The following is a 23,897-nucleotide window of genomic DNA, read 5'->3' as shown; positions in this document are numbered from 1 at the left end:
GTTTTGAAAGCCTTTTCTCTTTAGCTACTGGACTGGGAGTGACTTGTTTCTCCTCATCTGGATTTTCCTGGGGCCTTCCTTAGTTTTATGCTGCAAATTTTGCTTCTATAACATTAAACCCCAGAGCTCCAGGGTCCAGAGTTGCCATAGGCTTAGGGACAAACAGATGTTCATCAGGATCATTAAGACCTTGGCTTTAACATTTGGAAGAGGTGAATTTACTAAATGTTTTAAAATAATTGATATATGTATACACTGATATATAATACTTATATATTATTTATTTTATAGAACTATTCAAATATATTCCTTCCAAATATATGTATCTATCTCGATATTAACTAACTTATTTGGTTACATGATTCTGAAGAACAAAATTAGAAAGATTTTTAACGACTAATCACCAGCTCACTACCAACCAATATGGGGAATAAAATGCATCCACAGAAATAGCAGTTCTTAAAGAAAACATCTATTTCATTCAACTTGCTGAAACCATGTACCTTCCCACAAGGACCCCCCACAATTCTCAAACACAATTGGTTTTTTGTCACATCTAATTTCAATTAGTCATCGTGATATGGCTAAGAAGCTTTTTAACAACAATCAGTAAGGTCTACGTAGGATCCTGCTTAAATTCTTGACATTCTTCTCATTGCTTTCTGCAAAACTACATGCGCAGAAGGCGATCACAATGGAAACAATCAGTGAGTCATTACCGAGCTACATACTTCCTCTGCTCTGTGTGTGTGTGTGCGCGCGCGTGTGCACGCACACACACATATGCCAATTCCTTCCAAAACTAAGATTTGATTGTCTTCCTCATCTTCTACTTCTTTCCTTTTTCTACACAAAGGCAACATCGATGAAGCAATTAAAAAATTAGTTGCCAAGAATTATAAGACATATCAACGCATGAAAAAAATATTCTGCTTCTAACCACATATGAACATGTAAGTTTTAGATTTTATGTGGATAGGTTCAGAAGGGCAAGGATTCTGCTTAAACAGTTCTCCAGATGACGTTAGACCACCTTAGTGCCCCAGTATGTCTTCAGGATAGTTGGCCTACAATTGTGGTATTTCAACCCAAGTAGATTATAATATTGAAAGCAGCAATTTATTATAAAACGACTGTTTTCTCTTAAAATTCTCTTTCTCTCTACCTCCCCTACCCTCCATTCTAGGGGAATGCAGTGATGAACTGAAATGAGAAAACGTAATTAAAATCACATTCCTCCCCCAAGGGTCAACCTAATTATCAGCCTCTCACACCAAAACAAATTTAGCTCTTTGAGAATGAAGGTCCTTATCACTCATGGAAAAAACACAAACAAAGATTAACATGCCATTTAGGCATGACTGCAATCTTTCATTTTAAGTGACCTCTTCGTTTAATGGATTCAATGCGTTCTCATTCAAGTGGAATATATATTGCAGGAGAGAACTGTAATAAATGGTGCTGTCATGACCCCTAGGTTAGAGCAAAGGAATATTGGAAAATAAATCTCAATTCCACGTACTCACCAGTCCTGCAATGGGGGTAGGCAATCTATTGATCTTTTTAACAAGTCCTGGCTTTATAGCATTCAGCAACCTGTCATGAAAAAGGCAGAATGTCAAGTGAGACATAAAGCAAGATGGATCACACAAATCACCTTTATCCGGGGCTACAGCTAAATTGCTGGATAGGAAAAGCAGTGAATTTAAAGCATATAGTAAATCTCAATAATCTATCAGCCTTCATGCATATAAGTGAAGAGCTTTGCCAACATCAAGTTGGTCCACGGCAGGTGAAGTTTTAGAATTTAGAAATGTTGAGAGATGAGAAAAGGTAGAGACTGAGGAGGGCTTCAAGGAAAAGGACAAGGGGGAGAGCTGGATTGAGGTTGTGAGGGAATTATCTGGAACTGGAACCAGGTATTACAACTCAGGTAAGGCTTGTTGCCAATTTTCCTGGCTAAGACATGGATCTCTCCAGGGATGCACTAAATTCAAAGACCAGTTTCTATCTTTACAAATGATTCGCCAAGACACATTCTAAGTCAGACCCTACTTGCTCTTTGAGAAGAGTGGCTTTTTCAATGTGGTTGAGTTTCACTTTAAAAAGGGAAGAATGTGTTTAATAAGAGGTTAGCCAATCATATTCTGAAGATTTTAAACAAGGCTAACCAAGAGTCCCTAGGTACAAAAGATATTTGAGCAAAAGATTTTCAGCTAAAGATTGAAATTATATAACAATGGTTACACAAGCAAGGGAATGCAAGAGAAACAACTATCATTGCCTGTTTTCAGGACATAAAAACCCAGAGTGAAGAGAAACAAGGAAAGCAACTTATAAAATTAAAATATGGTTAGCATCGGGGTAATTGGGTAAAGTGTAGTATTTGCAAAGTAGGTTATTCATAAATAAGTGATTGAAGGTAAGGGGCTGTAGAATGTAGAATGTTATTTCCACGTTCGGGAATCAGGCAATTAGGTAACTTAGAATACTGTGCAAAGAGAAACTTAGGGTAGGAGTGTATCATAATTGAGAGGTCAACAAACTACAATCCATGAGCCAAATCTGGTCCAACACCTGTACTTATAAATAAAGTCTTACTGGAACAGGAATATAACCATCCTCATTCATTTACATATTGTCTATGGCTACTTTTGTGCTACAACTGCAGAGTTGAGTAGTTACAATGGAGACCTGAGGGGCCACAAAGCATAAAATCTTTACTATTTGATGCTTTATGGAAAAAGTTTGCTGACCTCTGTTAAAATTCATGCAATCCAAGGTTATAACAAATTATAAAGAACCTGTGCTTGCCAGATTTCTACAGATCAGTAACAAAAATTTTTCAAATGGTTTAATAGTCTTGAATTTAGACTATCTTTGACTTTGATACCACCATATATTCATATGTTGAGAAATGTCCCTACAGTGATTGTGACAGACAGGATATTCCATTTTTGCATGCAAGATTAATTGGCTGTTCTCGGTAATTTTCACTGCAATTCCAACATGCTGCTACCAAGAGGCGGTACTCAGAGTGCACAAGTGCTGTTTTGCCCACGGAGAGCCAAGCTGGCTGCTCTTTTCATGAATGCACTTATTTTTTAACCATAAATTTAACCTTTTAAAAATGCTTCTTTATAACTTATTTTGGACTTATTGGTTTTACCAGTTGGAAGGCAATTTATTCACTCTTCTCATTTTATAGTTCAGAAAATTGAGGCCTGGTGAAGTCTGAATTGAAGTCTGAGTGACTTCCCCAGAGCTGGTTAGTAGCACACTCAGGCCCAGAACCCAAATTTCTTAGATCAATGCATTCTCTCAGGTGGTGTAAATATCCCAAATCTTCTGGTTTAAAATACACAGATAGATATGATATCTCCAAAGCCACATTTTTAAATGTACAAAATTCTTTTTCTCGCTACTTTTGCTTTTCTCAGATACATTACTTTTCTTAGTAGTTTTTAACAGTGTCATTTTAAACTGAATTTTAAGATAATATTTTTGTACAGTTGTTGACAACTCAAAAGCATCAAAAGGATATACAGTAAAATATCTCACTGTCACCTTTGTACCACAGGACTCCAGCCTACTCTCTGAAGGCAACCTGAAAGACTTTCCAGAGGAGAATTTATAAAAAATATATAGAATTTAAAAATATATATGTGTAGCATATAGTACACACTGTCCTACACCTTGTTTTTTCACTTAACAATATATTTTGGAGGTTGAACAATTTACCTTGGAGACCCCTCATCCATACATATGGAGCTATGCCCTTTTCAATAGCTGTGGACCACTGATGACTGCAGAGCTGACAGATCAACCACTCTGTCTAATAGTTTTAGATTTTTCTAATAAGATGAAATACCATTGCTACCAGACAGACTGAGATCTGAGCTTTGTTGTTAATTAGGCAAAGTAGAAAAAATAACAAAATGTCCTACCCCAAAATTCATTATTTTAAAATTATCTTTTAAAGAGGTATGCTTTTTGTCCTCTATATCTAAGAACTATATTAATATTTTTAGCAATCACGGCCTCAAAACTCCTCTTTTATATATATTGAGATTTTTAAGCTGTTTTTAATATTTCATGGTATTCATCCTTTGTAAAAATTACACTTATATGGCAGAATCTTCCCTATCACATAAAGGGAAGATTGGAAAAAATCAATCTATCAATCAACTGACATATAACACTAGGCCTTACTTAAAAGTAGCAGAAACTATGATTTCTCTCACAATGTTTTACCATAAATTAAAAAATAAAAAGCCATAATGTTCACTTTCAAGACTAAGACAGCTGTATTTTTTTTCAGGTAAACACTGCTCCAATCCAGTGTTCTGTTTATAATACTCAACAATAAAAGATAACATTGAATTCACATTGTTGAAATGCCCAACACCTGCTTATCTTGTATTTTGTGTTAAATCAAGGACATTTTTTGTGTGAGAGATTTTTTGAGTAAGAGTCAAGGATATTCACTTGCAATTTTATTAAAAACCACTATGCCATCCTATATAAGTTAAGATATAAATATTTTCAGTAAATACTTATTGATGACATGCTTTGAAGTGATTATGCTGATGATATGTTATATTTATATAACTTCTGAGGTGCATTATTTCCCAAAAGTCCTGCCCTGTAGAGATAGGTCATGTATGTGTCCCACCATTTTTGTAGAAGAAAAAATGAACCCCAAACAGATATGAAGATTTCCCAGAGACATGCACAGCTAATCTGAAGCACAGCTGGGACAGTTTTCACCTCTTAGGCCATTTTATTTCACAGTTTGGTGCTTTAGAAAGTCCAACCTCAGTATGTGTCATCAAAGCATAATTCGAGACAAAACACAAAAATCAAAAACCCAAACAAATACGACCTAAATACAATGAGATAATATCAACACCAGGTGGGAATAAAAGGAAAATGGAAGAGAGTGTCTGTTGGTGAAGTATAAGACACATAGGATCCAAGTTCCACCTACAGATGATCTGCAACCTCATCCAGAGGAAAGGAGGCTGTCATCCACTTGGAGGAATATCTCCACTCAGCAGAACCCTATGCCAACTTCCTGCCTGTGGTTCCCAAAACATACAGCTAAAGGCCTTAACAGGTAGTCTGCTCTCTGGTAGGAGATCATCTTCGTATTCATCAAAAGATGAATTTTCTGGAAAATTAGCATAATCCTACACAACAAAACTACTAGGCATTTGTACCATCCCATGTCTTCTGTGCTAAATATACCCACAACTACAAATAAAAATAAAGAAAATTTTAAAATGTCAAAAATGTAAGAGCCAATGAGAAGGAACTATTTTCAGATATTTACTGTTTATCCAATATTCTTGATCAAGTGCCTGCTATGTGTTGTCCACTATTCTAGGCACAGGAAGGGCAACAGTGAACAAGACAAGCAAAGTTCTTGTTCTTTGGAATTTGTAATCTTGGTACAGTGAGTGGATGGGGCAGTGGAGGGAACAGAAAACAGGTAAATAAATAAGAAGAAAATTTCAGATAGCACACAAGTAGGCCACGCAGTAGTACTCTAATTGTATGGTCTGAAGGCTGCTAGGGAGGTCATATTTGAGAAAAAAGTTGAATGATACAAAGGAACAAGAGACTTTAGCCAACGAGAGACTGGAGGACAAGCGTTCCAGGCAGATTGAACAGTCAGCAGAAAGGCTTTGAGGTAGGAGTGGACTTGGTATATTCAAGGAACAACCAGAAGGCCAATGTAGCTGAGGAGAGTGAGTAGAAGGAAGAGGTCTGGGACAAGATGGCCAAGGTGTAAGCAAAATCCAGGCCCAGGTAAGACTTCTAGATTTTTTATCTTAAGTTCAATGTGAAGCATAAGAAGATTCGTAAAACAGAGACTGAGATAATCTGATTTATATTTTTAAAACATCACTGTTTGCAAATCGGTAAAAAATAAAGTTACAACTACATGCATATAGAAAATTTCTGCTTATTAAAAATCATAGGTATCAGAGAGCATAGATAAAACATCACCAATAACTTACAACATTCAGCTTGATGAAGAGGAAGAGGCAGTGAATTTGGAGTCAGTAGCCTAGGTTTTAAAGTTGAATCCTATACATATTAGCTATGAGTTACTGAAAGGTTTCTTAATCAGGGTCTCAGTTTTCCCTTCCATAAAATGGGGATTTAAAATTAGCTTTGCCTCCTATTCAGGATTAGAGTGAGAATCCAGTGGGGTGATGGGTGTTGCTAGCATTTGATAAATGGAAACTTGCAAATTCATTCATTTACTATACTGAGCATTTCCCTTTTAGCTAGGTAACTGCAAGCTATTTTAGTTTCAATATTCCTATTAGCCAGTTGCAAAAACCAAAATAAGTTTTGCTTGTTCTCTTTCTCTGGCCACCTTTAGATAAAAATCTCACATAAATGAATCAGGTCAACAAATGTCTATAGCTTGCCTAGCAAACACCAGGTGAGAAACAACTAGAAACAGGAAGAAAAGCTATGATCTTGGATAATCCTTAATTATGAAACAAGTTAATGGCACTGAGAGTAATCAAAAATAAATGTTAATTTTATGATACAAATGAAATGGTGTCTACTAAACTTTTACATTCTAAATCTGAAACACACTGCAACCCATTTCAAGTAAGCCTATGCCATATGTTCTTTCATGTACTCAACAAGCATTTATTGCGTATGCATGATGTCTGGACTGAAGCTGGGTTCTGGGGATATGAAGAAAGGCACGGAAGACCCCAGGTCTCCTCCTCGTGGGGTATGCTCACTAGTGGATTAAAAACCCACAGGAAGACCAGAATGGTGCACATACGTGTCTCGCTGTCATACATCCTAATTCACGGCCATCTTAATTTTTGAGAAGGTGAATTAAAGATATGCTTTGCACACATTCTATAGAACACAGTTCTTAAAAGATTAAGAAACAATTTTTCAAATGGAATGCTCCACATGTATGTTTATTGTAGTACTATTTACAATAGCAAAGACTTGGAACCAACCCAAATGCCCATCAATGACAGACTGGATAAAGAAAATGTGGCACATATACACCATGGAATACTATGCAGCCGTAAAAAAAAATGTGTTCATGTCCTTTGCAGGGACATGGATGAAGCTGGAAACCATCATCCTCACCAAACTAACCTAGGAAGAGAAAACCAAACACCGCATATTCTCACTTATAAGTGGGAGTTGAACAATGAGAACACATGGACACAGGGAGGGGAACACCACACACCAGGGCCTATCGGGGGTGGGGGGCAAGAAGAGGCAGAACATTAGGACAAATACCTAATGCATGTGGGGCTTAAAACCTAGATGACAGGTTAATAGGTGCAGCAAACCACCATGGCACACGTATACCTATGTAACAAACCTGCACGTTCTGCACATGTATCTCAGAACTTAAAGCAAATTAACAACAAAAAAGAAACAATTGTTGAGACACCCAGGAATGATGCTAATGTTCCAATTCAACCACAGACTGCATTTAATAACTCTTTGCACCCCTAATATCCAGCATGTGGTAGTCTCTCAATCATCATTTAATGATTATGAAATACAAAGTGAAGACTTTTTTTCTATCTGCAACTTAAAAAACAAACAAACAAACAAAAACCTCAAAGCCCTACTCTGGAAGAGAGAGGTTCTGTTTCAGACAGACTCTTCCAACAGCCCATATAGTAGTTCTTCAAGGAGCACAGCACTAAGAATAGTGCTACAAAATGGTACCTTATGAGACCATCTAGACGTTAGGAATTATAGCAATGGGCAGCTTATATGTTATCGGACTGTAATGTGAACATTAAAGGTAAAATTCTTAAAGGATTGCAAATTTAAAAAGGATTGAGCTTACTCTATAAGTCATTTAGCTCAGAAATTCAATTCTAGTAATTATCCTAGAGTTTCGGGAAGAACAGAAGAGCTATCTAAATCTTAAACACAAGGTTGGAAAGTTCATGCTTAATCTCATAGGAAATCACTTTATTCTTTGCAACAAGAGATTACATCATCATCTCATTAGCTTGGTTTGTACAGCTGCAATAGGCAACTATGATCACAAAATTACCCACTTTGTGTCCCTTTTAATTTGGCTCAATAGTGTTTTTCTATGTGGTTTCCTTGATCACTTTCTGGGTTTGACTATGTACCCTGGATGAAAGTATATGCACTTTCATTTAACATAACATGGCATCTGTTTTTGAACCTAAGCATGAGATCAATTTAACCTTGACCAAAAATCTGTTACAGATGTCATTTTAAAAGATTTCTTTCTTGCCCAGGCAAAACCAGGAAAATTAACAAATCCTCTGAGATCAAGAAAAATCGACTAAAATATAGGGAAAAGTGAAATGTGAAACAGAGGAGTTTCAAATGAACAAGAGTGTTGGAACGCAAGCTGCCATCAATATCTACCAAATGCTTGTGGGATGCTATGCACGGTTCAGAATGTGTGAAATATAGGTCACACTTAAGCCACTTGCCTGGAGCACACCTAAGAAGAGATCATAGGAGCTTTAGAAGGTTTTTGTAGATTTGGAATTCCAAGAAGTTGAGCCTGACCCCGTGTATTTCTAGGGCTCAGCAGTGCTATCAGTACTGTAATACAGCACCTGTGGCAGAGACTGCTTACCATTCTTATCTTCCTGCTGTCTCGGGCACACACTGGACTTTATTGCCCAGCCTCCTTTGCAATTTGCTGTGGCTATATAATAGAGTGCTGGCCAATGAAGCACAGGCAGAAGTTATTCTATCACATGCAGGCCTGGCCCTAAAAACCCTCTCAAACAATTCTCCATTCTCTCTCCTCCACATTTACTAGTTAGATGTTGACACCCGGAAGTCCTCGGAAGTTGTATGTTGAAGATGGAGTCTCTATTAGCTGGTGTCCCTAAATAACTGCCTAAAGCAGAGTTGTCTCCATCCTTCCCTGTTGCCAACATTAGGCCATACAAGAGTGGAAATACATTTCCACAGTGTTACACCACTGAGATTTAGGGGTTTATTACTTACAGCACCTAGCACTATCTTGACTGTTATATCTCTGCAGGAGGCCTTTCTCCAATACCCAGGCAAACTGTACCCAAGAAAATCCTGTTCCAGAATGTGAAGTTTAACACCTGGGCACATACTTCCCTCCGGATCTTGCTGGGATGGCAGCAGAAGGAAGAAGAGCTAACATTTGGGATACTGTAAACAAATGGACCAATTTTTATTTTCCCACATTTTCTAGGGGGAAAAATAAAACCTCTTCTTGCCTATCACATCCCTCTTAATACTAAAACACTAACACTAATAAAATCATCTATACTGTAAGCATGGGAAGGAACAGACAGCAATTATTTGAATATGTTCAGAGTGCTTTGATCCATTTCCAATATCTTTTACAGTCTGTTCTTTGCATAACTATTCCTGCTGTCTGGAAATTATGGACTTTGGAAACTAGAAAAGGCATAAAAATCAAATCAAATAATCTAGATAAGGAGTAAAGGAACTGTCCCCGGGAGGTGAAGGCACATGTCTGAGGTCAGAGCTCCTAAGCGGTAGATTTGGGATTATAAACTTGGGTTTCTAAATCTGAAGAGAGTGCTTTTCTATGATGCTTCACTTTTTGCATTTCTACAGATAATCTCCAGCCACCAGTCTCTGCCATCCTAATCCACAGGCCCACTGCACCCAAACTGCACTCCAACTGACCACTGCTAAAACCTGGCTCTGGCCGGGATCCTTCCCTCTTCCAAGGACTTCCAGGCTCCCAAGTGCCACAGGATGCCCTCCAAATGCCTTCACCTGGTAATCAAGCCCAATCACCCCCAAATTGCCTTTCCCACTCAAGACTCTCCCTGCTTTTATAAGCTACAAGCTTAGGATGAAACATATGATCAATGAACCGTGAAAGCTGCCAACACACGAAAAGAACTTAGTATAACTACATAAAATGGAGACTAAAGTTACTCTGACACAGGGAGTGATACATGCAATCATCATTGTGCTATGTAGTAATTATGTTTAAATGATTGTAATTAGTATTTCCTTTGCGCAGCTAAAACCCAGTTATTGCTGGGTTTGCTATCAAGAGCGTGGAGAGAAAACTCAGAGGGTGAAATTGCTGTGATGCAGCTCTGAAGATTTCTGTATCCAGTCTTGGGGTGGAATACACAGCCAGCTCCCAACTCTTCTTTAGCAAGAAGTTCTCAGAACAAAGAGTTCCAGGATTGGGATCCATAAAATTCCAAGAGCAGCAGGAAGCTCCAGAGACAGAAAGACCTGGGTTCAAATCATAGCCCTGTAACTCACTAGACAAGTTATTTACGCATTTGACATCCACGAGCCTCAGTTTCCTCCTCTTTCAAATGGTGACAAAAATACCTGCTAGTCATAGCTTGAGGATGTGGAATAAGTAAAACAATGCATGTAATGCACTTGGCACAGGCCCGGTGTACAATATACACTTCATCAATGGCCGGCATTATTACCATCTTCTCCAAGCAGATTTCAATGCAGCCCTCCCACTGGTGAAAATTGGCTGTGTTGATCACTGGCTCACTTCTCCTCCTGAGAATCCTGCCTGTGGCTAAGGCTAGGTTAGAAGCAATGAAAGAACAGCAGTGAGGGAACGAGACAATGCCAATCCTTCTGAAGGACAGGCCTCCATAGGCGTAGTCTCTGGACAGGCGGAAGGCAATAGAAAAGCTGGGGACGCGGAGGAAGGAAGGGAGGATGCCGACAAAGGAAAGGCAGAAAGAAGCTCTAAAGACAGACCCGGCTGCGTGATCACCGCAGCCACAGCTGGCTCCAGCCCTGCTTTCTGCCAAAATTGGGCTTTAACTCTTTTCAAGGCTCCCATCTCCCCAGCCTCACTTGCCGTCCTGAGGATGACGAGGACAAGCCAACAGCTACAGAGAAAGGGGAGTCTGCTCCTAATGTGGCCATGAGAATTCTGAATCTACTTCCTATTCATTCCACATCTTGTCATCAAAAGTTTACCCCACACCAGCTAAGCCCAGACACACTCAAGAAGCCGGGTTCAACAGTGGGGCTGACACAATCTCAGATGTGGTTTGGGTTACATAAGACTTTGTGAAGCGAACTGCTTCTATAGGGAAATAACTTCCAAGTTCTAAACAAGTAACTTGGAAGAGAACCTCTGAGACGTACATGTGCATAGTAAGGATGTAAACTAAGGACAGGCATAGCAAGATAGGTGCAGTAAGGATTTCTGCTGCTCCTTGGGAGGCGTGGTGTTTTATTCACCTATTTGTATTTGGGGCACAGCAGAAAGCAATCAAAAGTCTCCATTGCCACCAGAGGTAATTGCCTAAAAAGCAAACCCATTGCTCTTCTGTATAGAGACTGTGCTGGCTGCCTATTGCTCACTGGATGCTGTTTAAAGTCCTTACCATGCTATTCAAGATTGTTCACAAACTGACTTGATACCTACCTCTCACCTCTAGTCTGCCCCACCTTGCACTTGTCCTAGCCTTTGTCCCTGAGCATACAAAGTCTCTTCATATAGCTAGGCACTTTCACATGCTTACTGCTTCCTCCCCTGAACTGCCTTTCCCACAGGCCTCCTCTCACTCCTTTGTGGCCTAACAAACTCCTACTCATCCTTCAAAACCCAGTTTAAATGTTACCTCCTCACCGAACCATTTAAGTAGAGACTGTACCTTCCACCTCTGGGTCCCAACACTCTTTGGCTTCCCTATTTATCACACATCACAGAAACTATCTGGCTTCTTCATCAGGCAAAGGGTTAGTCCTCTCTGTAACTCTAGCTCTAGTGTAAGGGCCAGTCCTTGTTAGGGCCTCAATTTTTGTTTGTTGAGTGAATTGTTAATGAAATGAGCAACATTATAAAGTATTGGGAAGGACTCAAAACATCAGTTTTGGAACTATCACGGACTTTAGACCTGCTAACGATTTACAACTTTTGTTGTCGTTAATAATTTTTTTTTTTTTTTTTTTTTTTTTTTTTTTTTTTTTTTTTTAAGACGGAGTCTCTCTCTATCACCCAGGCTGGAGTACAGTGGCACGATCTCCGCTCACCGGAACCTCCACCTCCCAAGTACAAGCGATTCTTCTGCCTCAGTCTCCCAAGTAGCTGGGATTACAGGCATGCACCACCACACCTGGCTACTTTTCATATTTTTTAGTAGAAATGGGGTTTTGCCATGTTGACCAGGCTGGTCTTGAACTCCTGACTTCAGGTGATCCGCCCGCCTTGGCCTCCCAAAGTGCTGGGATTACAGGCATGAGGCACCATGCCTGGCCCATTAATCATATATGAATCATTCTCTCAGGACCAAGACTAAAGTTGGATTCAAGCAACCACACCAGGGAAAGGATCATCGGACAGGCTTTTAGTTCCTTCCTGCCAGTCATTACTGCATGAAGTTCCTGTTGGTTTGTGAAAGAGGGGATGGGAATGAGTGGAGTCCCCCTGTTCCTCTCTAAAGAAGAGTTAGGAGTTGGCTCCAAAGGAAGCAGTAAAATCTCTGGGTCCTTCTTTTTTTATGTACCACCGGATACACAAATGGGGCAAGGAGAAAACAATATGGCCATCTCCCCTTGGGCAACACACATTATTCTCCTTTACTGGGCGTGCAGCAGAAATACAAAATGCAGCTTTATTCAGAGGACTGGGGAATACATTCTTGAGGCCAGAGGCTCTGGCAGGAAAATCATCAAACAGCAAGCAACGCCTTTTCATCTGTGGCAGAAGAAGAGTTTTAAGTGATGCAAAAGCCATGTAGTATTTAAGTAATAACATCTTCTCATTCTTCCATTCCATGGCCTTTCTTTGTCTGATGTTACTATTTCTGATCTTAATGAATGTGCCTTTTTTAGTTTTATTTTTGTAATTTTCTTTATATCTCTTTTGAAGTAGACAATATAAATATCAATCTATGAAACATTCTCTTCAATGATGTTCTAAAATATGAGCAGCACTTTACAATATGATACTAGCACATCAGAAATGAACTAAATGATATTTGGAATGAGATTTCTAGATGACTTTTTAAACATCTTGAAGCCAAAAATTTAAATCCCATTGTGTGTGTATGTGTTTGTGTTTTAATGACTTGAGATACAATTCACATAGTTTACCCACTGAAAATGTAGAATTCAATATTTTTGTACATTCACAGGATTATGCAACCATCACTACAAACTAATTTTAGTTTCCCTTCCACTAGCAGAAGCCCCAAATCCATTAGTTTTCACTTCCCCTCTTACTCACCCACAACCCCCAGCCCCAAACAACCACTAATTTGCCTTCTGTCTCTATAGATTTGCCTATTCAGAACATTTATATAAATGAAATTATATAATGTGTAGTCTTTTATGACTGGTTTCTTTCATTTAACATGCTTTTAAGGTTCATCCATGTTGTAGCATGCATCAATGCTTTATTCCTTTTTATAGCCAAATAATATTGCATTGCAAGGATATACCACATTTGATCTATCCATTCATCACTCTGTGGACATTTGGGTGTTTCCACCTTTTGGCTATTATGAATAATGCTGCTATGAACATTTGAGTACAAGATTTTGTGTGGATGTGTGTTTTCATTTCTCTTGGGTATGTACTTAGGAGTATAACAGCTGGGTCATATGGTAACTTAATGTTTAACCTTTTGAGGAACTGCCAAACTGTTTTCCAAAATGGCTGTGTCATTTTGCAACCCTGCAAGTAATGCATGAAAGTTCTCATTTCTCCACATCATGCCACACTTCTTACTGTCTTCCTTTTTTATTATAGCCATCCTAGTAGGTGTGAAGTGGTATTTCATTGTGGATTTGATTTGCATTTCTCTCAAGACTAACAACGTTGAACATCTTTTTTATGTACTTACTAGTCATTTTTGTAGCTTCTTTGGAGAAGTGTCTATTCCGATATTTTGTCCATTTTTAAATTGGGTTATCTTTTTATTATTGAGTTATAAGAGCTCTTTATATATTTTGGATACAAGCCTCTTATCAGATATATGATTTGCAAATATTTTTTCCCATTCTGTGGGTTGAGAGATGATATCATTTGCAGGACAAAAGTTTTTAATTTTGATATAGTCCAGTTTATTTATTTTTTCTTGTCACTTGTATTTTTGATGTTATATATAAAAAATGATTGCCTAATCCAAGGTCACAAAGATTTACTGCCATGTTTTATTCTAAGAGTTTTGTAGGTTTAGCACTTACATTTATGTCTATGATCCATTCTGAGTTAAAATTGTAGCATTTTACTACACAAATTTACTGGTTAGTTATAAACATATCAATAATTTCAAAAGTATTAATTTTAAAATAATCTTTCTTCTTCCCGTCCTCCCTTCAAAAGCTTACTACATGCCTGCCATGTGCAAGCACCATTAGGCATACAAAGATGGGTGAGTCGCTGTCAGTACTTCAAGGAATTTATCATCTAATAGAAAGTTAAAATATCCAACTTCATGAGTAGTGCCATGTGTGAGACAAATGACTTGCTCTAGGCACAGCCAAAATTTCTCCTTCAAACAAGAAATGAGGGAGACAGCAGTTGAAATCAGGGTTGTCATCTCCACTTCGGGATGTATGGCTGTCACAGCGATGGGTGCTCAGAGGACTGAATTCAGGTTGCAGCACTGGGGATGTTGTGGTGGAGGGAAAGGTGCCCATTGCGTTTGTTTGGGATTTAAGAAGATGGAAATGGACAGGGAATACAGCACTGCAGGTAGCTAGAAGCAAATGCAAGAAAGATACAAAGCAGGGAAGCACAAAGAGAATTGTAGGAACAATAATAGATCAACCTCTGTGACCAGTGCAAATGGACAGGGCTGATGAGTTGAATAGAATCATTGCACCCAGACAGAGGGACACCACGTTCTAGGCAAAGGAACTTGAATCACACCCCGTCTTCTGGGAAGAGGCCACCAGTCACGATGAAGCCATGTTTGGGAATGTTAGCCTCCCAGCAGAGTCTACAGTGGCTTAAGGAAGGGCAAGCACTAGAGCTAATCACTCAGATATACAGTCTTCACTTTTTCTTTTTATTCACTCTTTCTTCCTCTTGATACCAAGAAGGAAGTCTATTTCTTCATAGTTAACTTTTTAAAGAAATCATTTGGTCGGGTGCGGTGGCTCACACCTTTAATCCCAGCACTTTGGGAGGCCGAGGTGGGCGGATCACCTGAGGGCAGGAGTTCGAGACCAGCCTGCCCAACATGGCGAAACTCCGTCTCTACTAAAAATACAAAAATTAGCCAGGCATGGTGGCAGACGCCTGTAATCCCAGCTACTCGGGAGGCTGAGGCAGCAGAATCACTTGAACCCGGGAGGCAGAGGTTGCAGCAAGCCGAGATCGTGCCAGTGCACTCCAGCCTAGGCGACAAGAATGAAACTCCATCTCAAAAAAAAAAAATCATTTATAAACTGGGTCCTTAGTAGGCTATTTAAGAAAAAGTCCACTCCTTCGAGTAACCAAAGGGAACATTCAGAACAGGTGAGGCAGAGATTTTGCACACTTCATCATGGGAAGCCAGCCCACCAAGCCTGACAGCCCATTAGAGACAATCAAAAAATGGATTATTAAGGAAATACAATTAGAGCTACTAAATCCTCTTAAATCTAAGCAAAGCCTAATCCAGCATGTAACCCCACAGGCAGGCAATGGGCTAGGCCAGTTTCTCATCTACCACATGAGCAGTCCACATTTAAACCAGTTGTTATATTTTCTTAAATTAATTGATCATTCTTAAAAATCTGTCAAAAATTTGTTCAGGAGGAGAAAGATTAGCCTGAGATTCAAGTCAGGAGAATTTTAATATTTATTAAGGAGCAGATTAATAGGATGAGGGAATTGCCACATGTTGAGGGAAGTGGTTCCAAGTGACAATTCTGCTAAAATAAGTTTCAAACACATTTCTAGGAAGCTTCAAAACAAACTCTGTAAATGCCCTACTGGGTCTGGGTCATATAAGACTATGTATTAGGAGAAAGGAAGTGACAAGGATCGTATAATTTTTAATGAACAGAATATTTACAAAGATGGATGAGCTTGAGAATATTCCAAAGGCAAGATGCTCAAGTGCACACAAGAGCTCCCAGAGTAGACTTTGTAATTGATGTCCAAAGAACAGTTTGAATGGAGACAGTACCCCTACTGTGCTGAGTCCCTCTTTTGAGTAGGAGCCAAGGGCTATTTATTTGGTGAGGATTCAAAAAAAGAGGCAACACTGGGGGCTCATTCTGCTCACCATGAGTCCTGCATATTCACCTTCCATGTTCTCCATCTGTTTTCATCTTTCTAACAGAAGCCTGTTGGGGATACTCAATTCTTGCCTAAGCCCCCACCTAAGCCAGGCCAATCTTCAAACAAAAAGCAGCTTTTTCACTGGAGATCTTTTTCAGAAAAGGAGCGGGTTGAAATGTCCTCACTTGAACTTAAAGGCTTAATGAGTCTTGGTGCCAAACAGCTGGAGACAGGCCAAGTCAGCGTGGCCAATTGTGATTTGGCAGAAGGACAAGGGAGAACCCTACATAGAAAGTCTATCAAATTCTTCCCAGTCTGCTAAGGCCAAAATCAGTAATGGAAAAAGGACCCAAGTTTGCTGAGATTGGAGCGAGCATCTGGGTTAGAGAGAGAGCTCTAGACAAAGAGTGCAAAGACACATTGTGCCCTACCACCTCGGGTCTCCATCTAATCATCTACAGAAGAGGGGTTGGAAGATCTAGGTTCACTGGGGTTGCTCTGAGGACTAAATAAGGGATTGGTTTGTGAATACTGAACAAAGCAATGGTGACCAGTAGGGACCAGTCTAAAGTCATCAATAACTGGGGTGACCATATATCCCAGTTAGCTGAGGTCAGTCCCAGCTTCCACTTGTTCCAGCATCTCATCTGGTTAATACCCCCTTTCGCTCTGAACAGTGTCTCAGTTTGAATGACAGGTTGTATTGTTGCTCTACTAATCAGCCATTGGGTCATACTAATCTCATCTCTTTACCAATGTTTCAGAAAATGATTGCATGTGTACTTTATATTACACAAGGTCTCTAACAATAGCTGTTGGAATGATACACAAACATGAGCTAGACCTAAAACAGTTAGGTGGAATCATGATCAGTTGACTGGCAGTTCCCAGAGATACATATTAATTGTTAAAAGTCTCCAGTCCTTCCTTCTGCAAGCAAGGCAGGCCTTTTCTGAGGTTTTGCTCAAACTGATATCTACTGGGGACATACAATACAAGTCACCTCCACCTTCTTAAAAGTCTTCTTAGCCCTCTTGGTTTCCATGACCTCACAGTCTCCTGGGTTTCCTCTCATCTCTCTGATAGCTCTTTTGTGAGCTTCTCTTTCTCCCACCCATGACCCAGGGGAGACACTTCCTCAAACTGAGACCTCCTTCTGCGGCTCTTTCCTAATGTGGCCTTTCCCTCAGAGAGGCTTCCATATCTCATAGCTTAACCCTGATGTCCGACAATGGCTCACAAATCCAACTTGAGCAAGTTGAATGCATCGTCTCACCTCTAAGAGCCAGGCCCTCATCCCCAACAGCCTACAGGACTCTGGTCCTGGGTGGCTTGTCCATATCCCGAACTCATCCTGCCCAAACTAAAACCATGACCTCTCCAACAAACAGAGGAGCCTTTCTGGCTTGTATCAGGACCCCACTCAACTGAAACACCAAAATTATTTTTTGTCTTTTCTTTCATTCATCACTATACTCTACCAGGTGCTGCTGATTTCTTCAAAATCCTCTTCATTTCCATTGCTCTTGGGAATCAAACCACCAAATCCTTATATGGCTTGCAAGGCCCTGCACAATCTTGCCCCCACTACTTCTCTCCATCCACACTGATCTCATACCATTGCCCCACTGGTTTTCTACCTTTTGGCCAAACAAGTCTACCTGCAATTCCTCCAAGACACAGAGCTTGTTCCAGTCGTAGAGTTTTCAATCATGTTATTCTTTCAGCCCTAGAGTATGTTTCTTCTCAACTTTCATTTCCCTTTCCTCTTTCCTGGTAGAAGAGAATAATTTCTCCTCTTCGTTCAGGTCTCCACCTAAATGTGCTTCTTGAAGGGAATCTGAGATTTATATCCCACACAGTCAGGATTTAGATCTCAAATCAGCTGCCCGCCCCCCTCCCACCACCACCATTACATGATTTGATTGCATAATGCATTCATCTTTACAGTAACTTACCACACTCATAAGTGGGTTCCTATAAAGGTCAGTTGGATAAAGGAAGAGATGTCCTTGCCCTTTCAGGCACCTATCCTCTATATGTGCCAAACACAGCCTACTCATTCCTGACTCCAAACCTTCCCTCCTGCCTTTGTCCCTGTGTAGGATGCTGTGATACTGTGAATTATATTAAGAAATCCATATTTTGGTCTTCATCCCCAGCTCCTGGCACAGAGTCCCTAAAATCCTTGTAATTTCCTGAGCAATAGGAATGCTAGGTGCATTTTTTTACTCTGATATTTAGTCTCTGACCCCAGTTGCTGACGCAGAACTCCTAATCCCTTGGAATTTCCTGGGTGATAGGAGTGTCTTTTGCTCTAATGAGGTGACTCTTGGTAGGCTCCTAGATGGAGGCTGGTTACCAGAAAGACCAAGCTACGATTAGAAGCTTGGAACTTCTAGCCCCACTCCCATCCTCCAGGAAGGGGAGAGAGGCTGGAAATGGAATTAACAACCAATCATGCCTAAGTGACAAAGCCTCCATAAAAATCCCGGTTTCAATCCCTCTGTTTCAAGAGTCTGAAGATATACTGGGTTGCTGGGCGTGTGGAGGTGCTGGGAGGATGGACCAACAAGAAAGGGATGAAAACCCTATTCCCTTGGCCCCACGCCTTCCCCTCTGCATCTTCCATTTGGCTGTTCATGTGTACCCTTTATCAGATCCTTTAGAATAAATCCATAAATACACGGATGTACCCCGGAGTTCTGTGAGCCATTCTGATAAATATTCAAACCCAAGAAGGAGGCCATGAGAGCCTCCAATTTGTAGCCAAGTGGACAGAAGTTGTGGATCACCTGAGGACCTGTTATTTGCAACTGGCATCTAAATGAGGGGTGGGGGCAGTCTTGTGGGACTGAGCCCTTAACCTGTGTAGTCTGTATTATCTCCAGTTAGTGTCGAGATTAAGTTAAACTTTAAGATAACCAGCTGGTATTGGAGAATTGGTCATTATGAGGGATAAAAACCACACATTTTTGTGACCAGAGTGTTATGAAAGTATAAAGAAAGAAAAAACTACTTGTTTTTCTCTATAAAGATGATTTTCCCTTTCCCTCAACCTATTCTTAATAGTCAATTAATATTATATCTCCCCAATTAACTGTCTCCCAAGTCATAACAGTATCCTCATTTAACCTCTTATTAAATCTTGGAGATTAAATCTTTGTTGGTTTTACATTTACTCGTACACTGGTTTACACTGTAACTTAACTGCTCTGTGTGTGTGGGTCCAGTCCCCAAGCACATCATAAAACTTTTGAAGATCATGTCTTACATTCTGTTTTTATGCCTCTTGGTGCCTAATTTGGTGCTATGCAGCACATGGTCGATAGCCAACAATTCCTCCATGTGATAAAATGTCTCCACACAAAGTTACACCATCAACCCTCAACCTGTCCTACAAGACTAGGACACATCCGTGACACACCACATCTCATGCTGAAATCATGACAAGAATCTAAGGCCAGACCTCCTTCTGACAAGCAGCTCATTTATCAGTGATGATAGAATAAGTGTTTGCCAACAGATTTCTTATCTTTGGAAAATCATTTCAGCAACACAGGAACTGAGACAAAAATCCACTAAGACATTCTTTATTGGTCACTTATTTGTAGATTAACATACTCACACTTTCATTTCATGACAATACGTTTGCAAAACAAAACTTTTAAGTTCAGTTCTATGACTCCTAGGAAGATGGAATTTGTAATAGAGAATCTTACACTTGAAGAAAGCAAATACATCCATCCTTTGGTCTCCCAGTCTTTAGGGATGGGTCTGTTGTTTATACAAAGTGTGTGTGTGTGTGTGTGTGTGTGTGTGTGTGTGTGTGTGTGTCAGAAACACAGAGAGAGAGAATAATACTGACTAAGACTGGGAGAAAGTTAAAGGCAGTCATTGATGATCAGGTGGCCTAGGTAGAAATCTTATAACTTGGTCTCAATCTATTCACCAAGTGTTTCTATAGATGGATTATTTGCTACACCAGTGTCCAATGAGTGAAATACAAAGACAAAGGGTCTTCAAGAAAGCTCTCAATCCGGTACAAAGATGGGACAAAGAGGTAGAGCTCTATAATAGCACTAAAGTGGAGTTGTGTATGGGTACTTAGCAGCCAGACAAGAACCTATTAACACTGCCTAGAAGGTTCTGGAACAGCTTCCCAGAGAAGAAAACCACAACAGACTGGATGGATGGGAGAAAATGACATCACCACAGAGGTCAGGGTTATTGTTTTCAAAACAATCACTCTAGTCCCCAAGCTCTGCCAGCCAAAGTTCATTATTCACACATGATCAAGTTTGTAAGGGACCCAAATTTTCTTGCCCAGTTTTTGATCACAAGCTAGATGAGAGAAGCTAGAAAGTATAATCCAAATGCCTTCATCCCGTGGCTTGCTGGCAGCCCAAGGGAGCGAGCCACTGGGTGCACAGTGACACAGAGTTGCAATGACTATGTCATATTCATAATTGACTTTTGGACTATTTCCAAAAACAATAATAAGAACAGCCAGTGGTACAGGGTGCCAAGCAAGTGCCAGATGCTATGCTGAGTGCTTGACTGTATTCTCTCACTGGAATCTCCTAGAAACCTCAAGAAGTAGTAATTTCTCTGTTACATAGACGAACGGGGGAAAGTTAACATTTAAGTGCCTGCTATGTTCCAAACACTGAACAAAGAATTTTATACATATTTTCAATTCATTTTATCCTCAGAACAATCCTATATGGATTTTTACAATTATGATCTGTTTTTATAGATAAAAGTAAACTGGGGGACTCAAAGAGGTTAGGTTACTAGCCTAAGGATACACAGGAGGCAAATCTAGGATCTGCTCCATCTACTAGGTTGAACCCTAGGAAATCACATTATCTGACTATTTTTTGGTCTATTGACACAATTTCATAGGATTTAATGAAGGAATTCCAAAATCCATTCACTTTCCACTATACTCTCTCATAAAAGGGTTTGAACTGGCTTTTGTTAAATATATGTCCTTAGATAGTAACAAAAATGGAAGAAAGGAGTGGGGAAAATGATAAGCAAACCAGAGAATAAGGGAGAGCATATCAGTAAGAATCAAGGTAAGAAAATAAACACAGTCATACACTCACTGAAACTTGGCTTTGCATTTCTCTATGCGCAAGCTACAAATAGCCATGAAGAGTATCTGCATACTGCCATTGCCAGGGAGCATTTGGGAATCTGAAGGTGAGTATGGGGTTGCTCCCACGAGTGGGAAGCACCACTGGCTTGAAGTGAGCAGGGCAGAGGAGGTGAATTATCTGCAATGAGTGGAACTGCTCAGATGCAAAAAGGAATTGTTCTGATGACATCAATAGCATCCCTGTGGAGACACAGGAGCTCATCAATTTCAAAACCTACCTAGGATGTTTGAACAGCTCCACAGGGATCCCATTGACTGGGGCTCCCCTAGACCTCCTGGAAGAAATGGTTAAAGAAACACTAGGAAACTCAGAATGAAGAGATATCAGGACTAATGCCAGGGAAGCAAACATTAACCCCAACCCCTGGAAAGAAAGGTCTGAAGTATGCAGAGACAGACCCTGAGGTTGGACAGAGCTGAAAATGGAGGGGCCTTATTCTAGGAGACAGCAAATGGTTGTGAGGAGAAACTGAACTGGATAGCTCCAAGGTCTCCTGTCCACTCTCAGAGAATTGGTGCCAAGTTATTCAGTAGGGGGTACTATAAATTAAAAGGAGAAAGTACAGACTACTCAGAGGATCACCTGTCTAAGATTTGCTCAAAGAGCTGTCATTGGGAGAGAGGTCTCTCTCGCAACTCCAAGTGCTCGGAGGCAGAAGAGTTGGGAAACGTGGCAGCCACATCAGAAAAATGGCAGCTCCTGGAAGCATCAGCCCAAACCCCTAGAGAGGGAGGTAAAAAGGCTGGGAGGAAGCTCAGAGCAAGGGCAGTTATCACTTGAGGGCTGAGGGAACCGACTGGTAGAGGACAAAGCCTGCTTCTCAGGAGAGAGGCTTTTCTCCGGCAACACTCCCAAGGAAGGAGTGATCTATAGATTTTGGTGGCCTCAGTTTTACCTCACCAAGGTAACTCACTCCATAGTTTAGAGAGGATAGGGATAAAGGAATGGACTCCTGACAGGACAGGTCTGAAAACGTAAGTCCCTCCAAAGCATCCTTCTCTGAACACACCCCTATGTAAGTCTAACCAAGGCCTCAAAGAGACCTAATAAACCTTTCACACCACTCTTAAGCTCACCTTTTCTCCACTAGAAGTTCCAAAGGCTGTCTGTCCTGGTTGGATGGAAGAGTCCCTCAGCGGGCCTGTATTGGTTTTGTTGGTCTAATAGTCATTCCTTCTTCTTTGATAACAGCTTCTTAATTTCCACTTGAGCAACTTTCCTCCCCAACTCTCCAGGAATAGTAGGGCAGTTGTAGGGTAGGGCAGACTGTGGAGAGCGCCCATGCTACGTCCTGGCTCCAAGCAAGGGCAAATCCAGACCTGGCCATTCGGTTAATTCCGAGATGAGCACCAGGCCCAATTCACGTCAATAAAGGGCAGGCACCAGGACTTCTACTGGAATTACTCCAAAAAAGTATCTCTTTTTTCCTGCTGGGATTGCAAAGCTAGTAAAATATAAGCTAAAAGCTAATAGTAGCCAACTTTGTCACCATATGGGAAAACTTACCCAAAGACAAAGTCAATAAAGAAGAAAGCAGAGGCAAGAGATGGATGGATGGATGGATGGATGGATGGATGGATGGATGGATGGATGGACAGACAGACCAGTCAGATAACACAATTCAAGCATGGTTATATAGTTATGTCTGTACCTGGGGTGTGTGTGTGTGTGTGTGTGTGTGTGTGTGATTTACCTCCGTGCTTATTCACATAAACCAATCACATCCCATTTTTGTTTAAACTGGTTTCAGTTGCATTTCTATCACTGACAACAACAAAAATTCTCACTAGCAAACTTCAACTCAACCCCCAACCCGACCACCAAAAAAACCTCATCTTTAAATGTAGACCTAACTCATTTTGACACATCTCTACAAGTAGGAAATGAGGAAAGTGAAAAAAGAATTCTATACCAGTATGAAAAAAAGCTCAACATCACGGATGATTAGAGAAATGCAAATCAAAACCACAATGAGATATCGTCTCACGCCAGTCAGAATAGTGATTATTAAAAAGTCAAACAATAGATGCTGGTGAGGTTGCAGAGAAAAAGGAATGCTTTACACTGTTGGTGGGAACGTAGATTAGTTCAACTACTGTGGTAGATAGTGTGGCGATTCCTCAGAGATCTAGAAGCAGAAATATCATTTGACCCAGCGATCCCATTACTGGGTATATACCCAAAGGAATATAAATCATTCTATTATAAAGATACAGGCACGCATATGTTCATTGCAGCACTATTCACAATAGCGAAGAATGGAATCAATCCAAATGCCCATCAGTGATAGACTGGATAAAGAAAATGTGGTACAGATACACCATGGAATACTATGCAGCCATAAAAAGGAATGAAATTATATCCTTTGCAGAGACATGGATGGAGCTGGAAGCCATAATCCTCAACAAACTAACTCAAGAACAGAAAACCAAACACCACATCTTCTCACTTATAAGGGGGAGCTGAATGATGAGACCACATGGACAA

At 40.2% G+C, this 23,897-nt stretch overlaps 1 protein-coding gene across 39 annotated transcripts in view, besides 1 other annotated feature; it reads right to left on the bottom strand.

Annotated features, from left to right (window-relative positions):
- The window catches only part of LIMCH1 (LIM and calponin homology domains 1), a 340,438-nt gene that overhangs the window by 174,040 nt on the left and 142,501 nt on the right, over nt 1–23,897 (bottom strand). For all 39 annotated transcript variants that reach the window (NM_001289124.2, XM_011513642.2, XM_011513644.2 and 36 more), the window contains exon 3: nt 1,527–1,596. Coding sequence is in view for 38 of the 39 variants with exons in the window: in XM_011513642.2 (XP_011511944.1) it covers nt 1,527–1,596 (70 nt within the window). In the remaining variant the exon portion in view is untranslated. The remainder of the gene's footprint in view (nt 1–1,526; nt 1,597–23,897) is intronic.
- Nucleotides 363–962: an enhancer, noted in NCBI's record as "OCT4-NANOG hESC enhancer chr4:41527060-41527659 (GRCh37/hg19 assembly coordinates)". NCBI's record gives its function as "activates a minimal SCP1, AML or CMV promoter by ChIP-STARR-seq in naive H9 embryonic stem cells {active_cell/tissue: H9 hESC(naive)}" and the evidence as "EXISTENCE:reporter gene assay evidence [ECO:0000049][PMID:30033119]".

The sequence above is a fragment of the Homo sapiens genome, chromosome 4, assembly GCF_000001405.40.
Source record: "Homo sapiens chromosome 4, GRCh38.p14 Primary Assembly".
In the NCBI taxonomy this organism is placed as follows: domain Eukaryota; kingdom Metazoa; phylum Chordata; class Mammalia; order Primates; family Hominidae; genus Homo; species Homo sapiens.
Note: the sequence above shows the minus strand (reverse complement) of the source record. Positions and strands in the feature narration are given on the sequence as shown.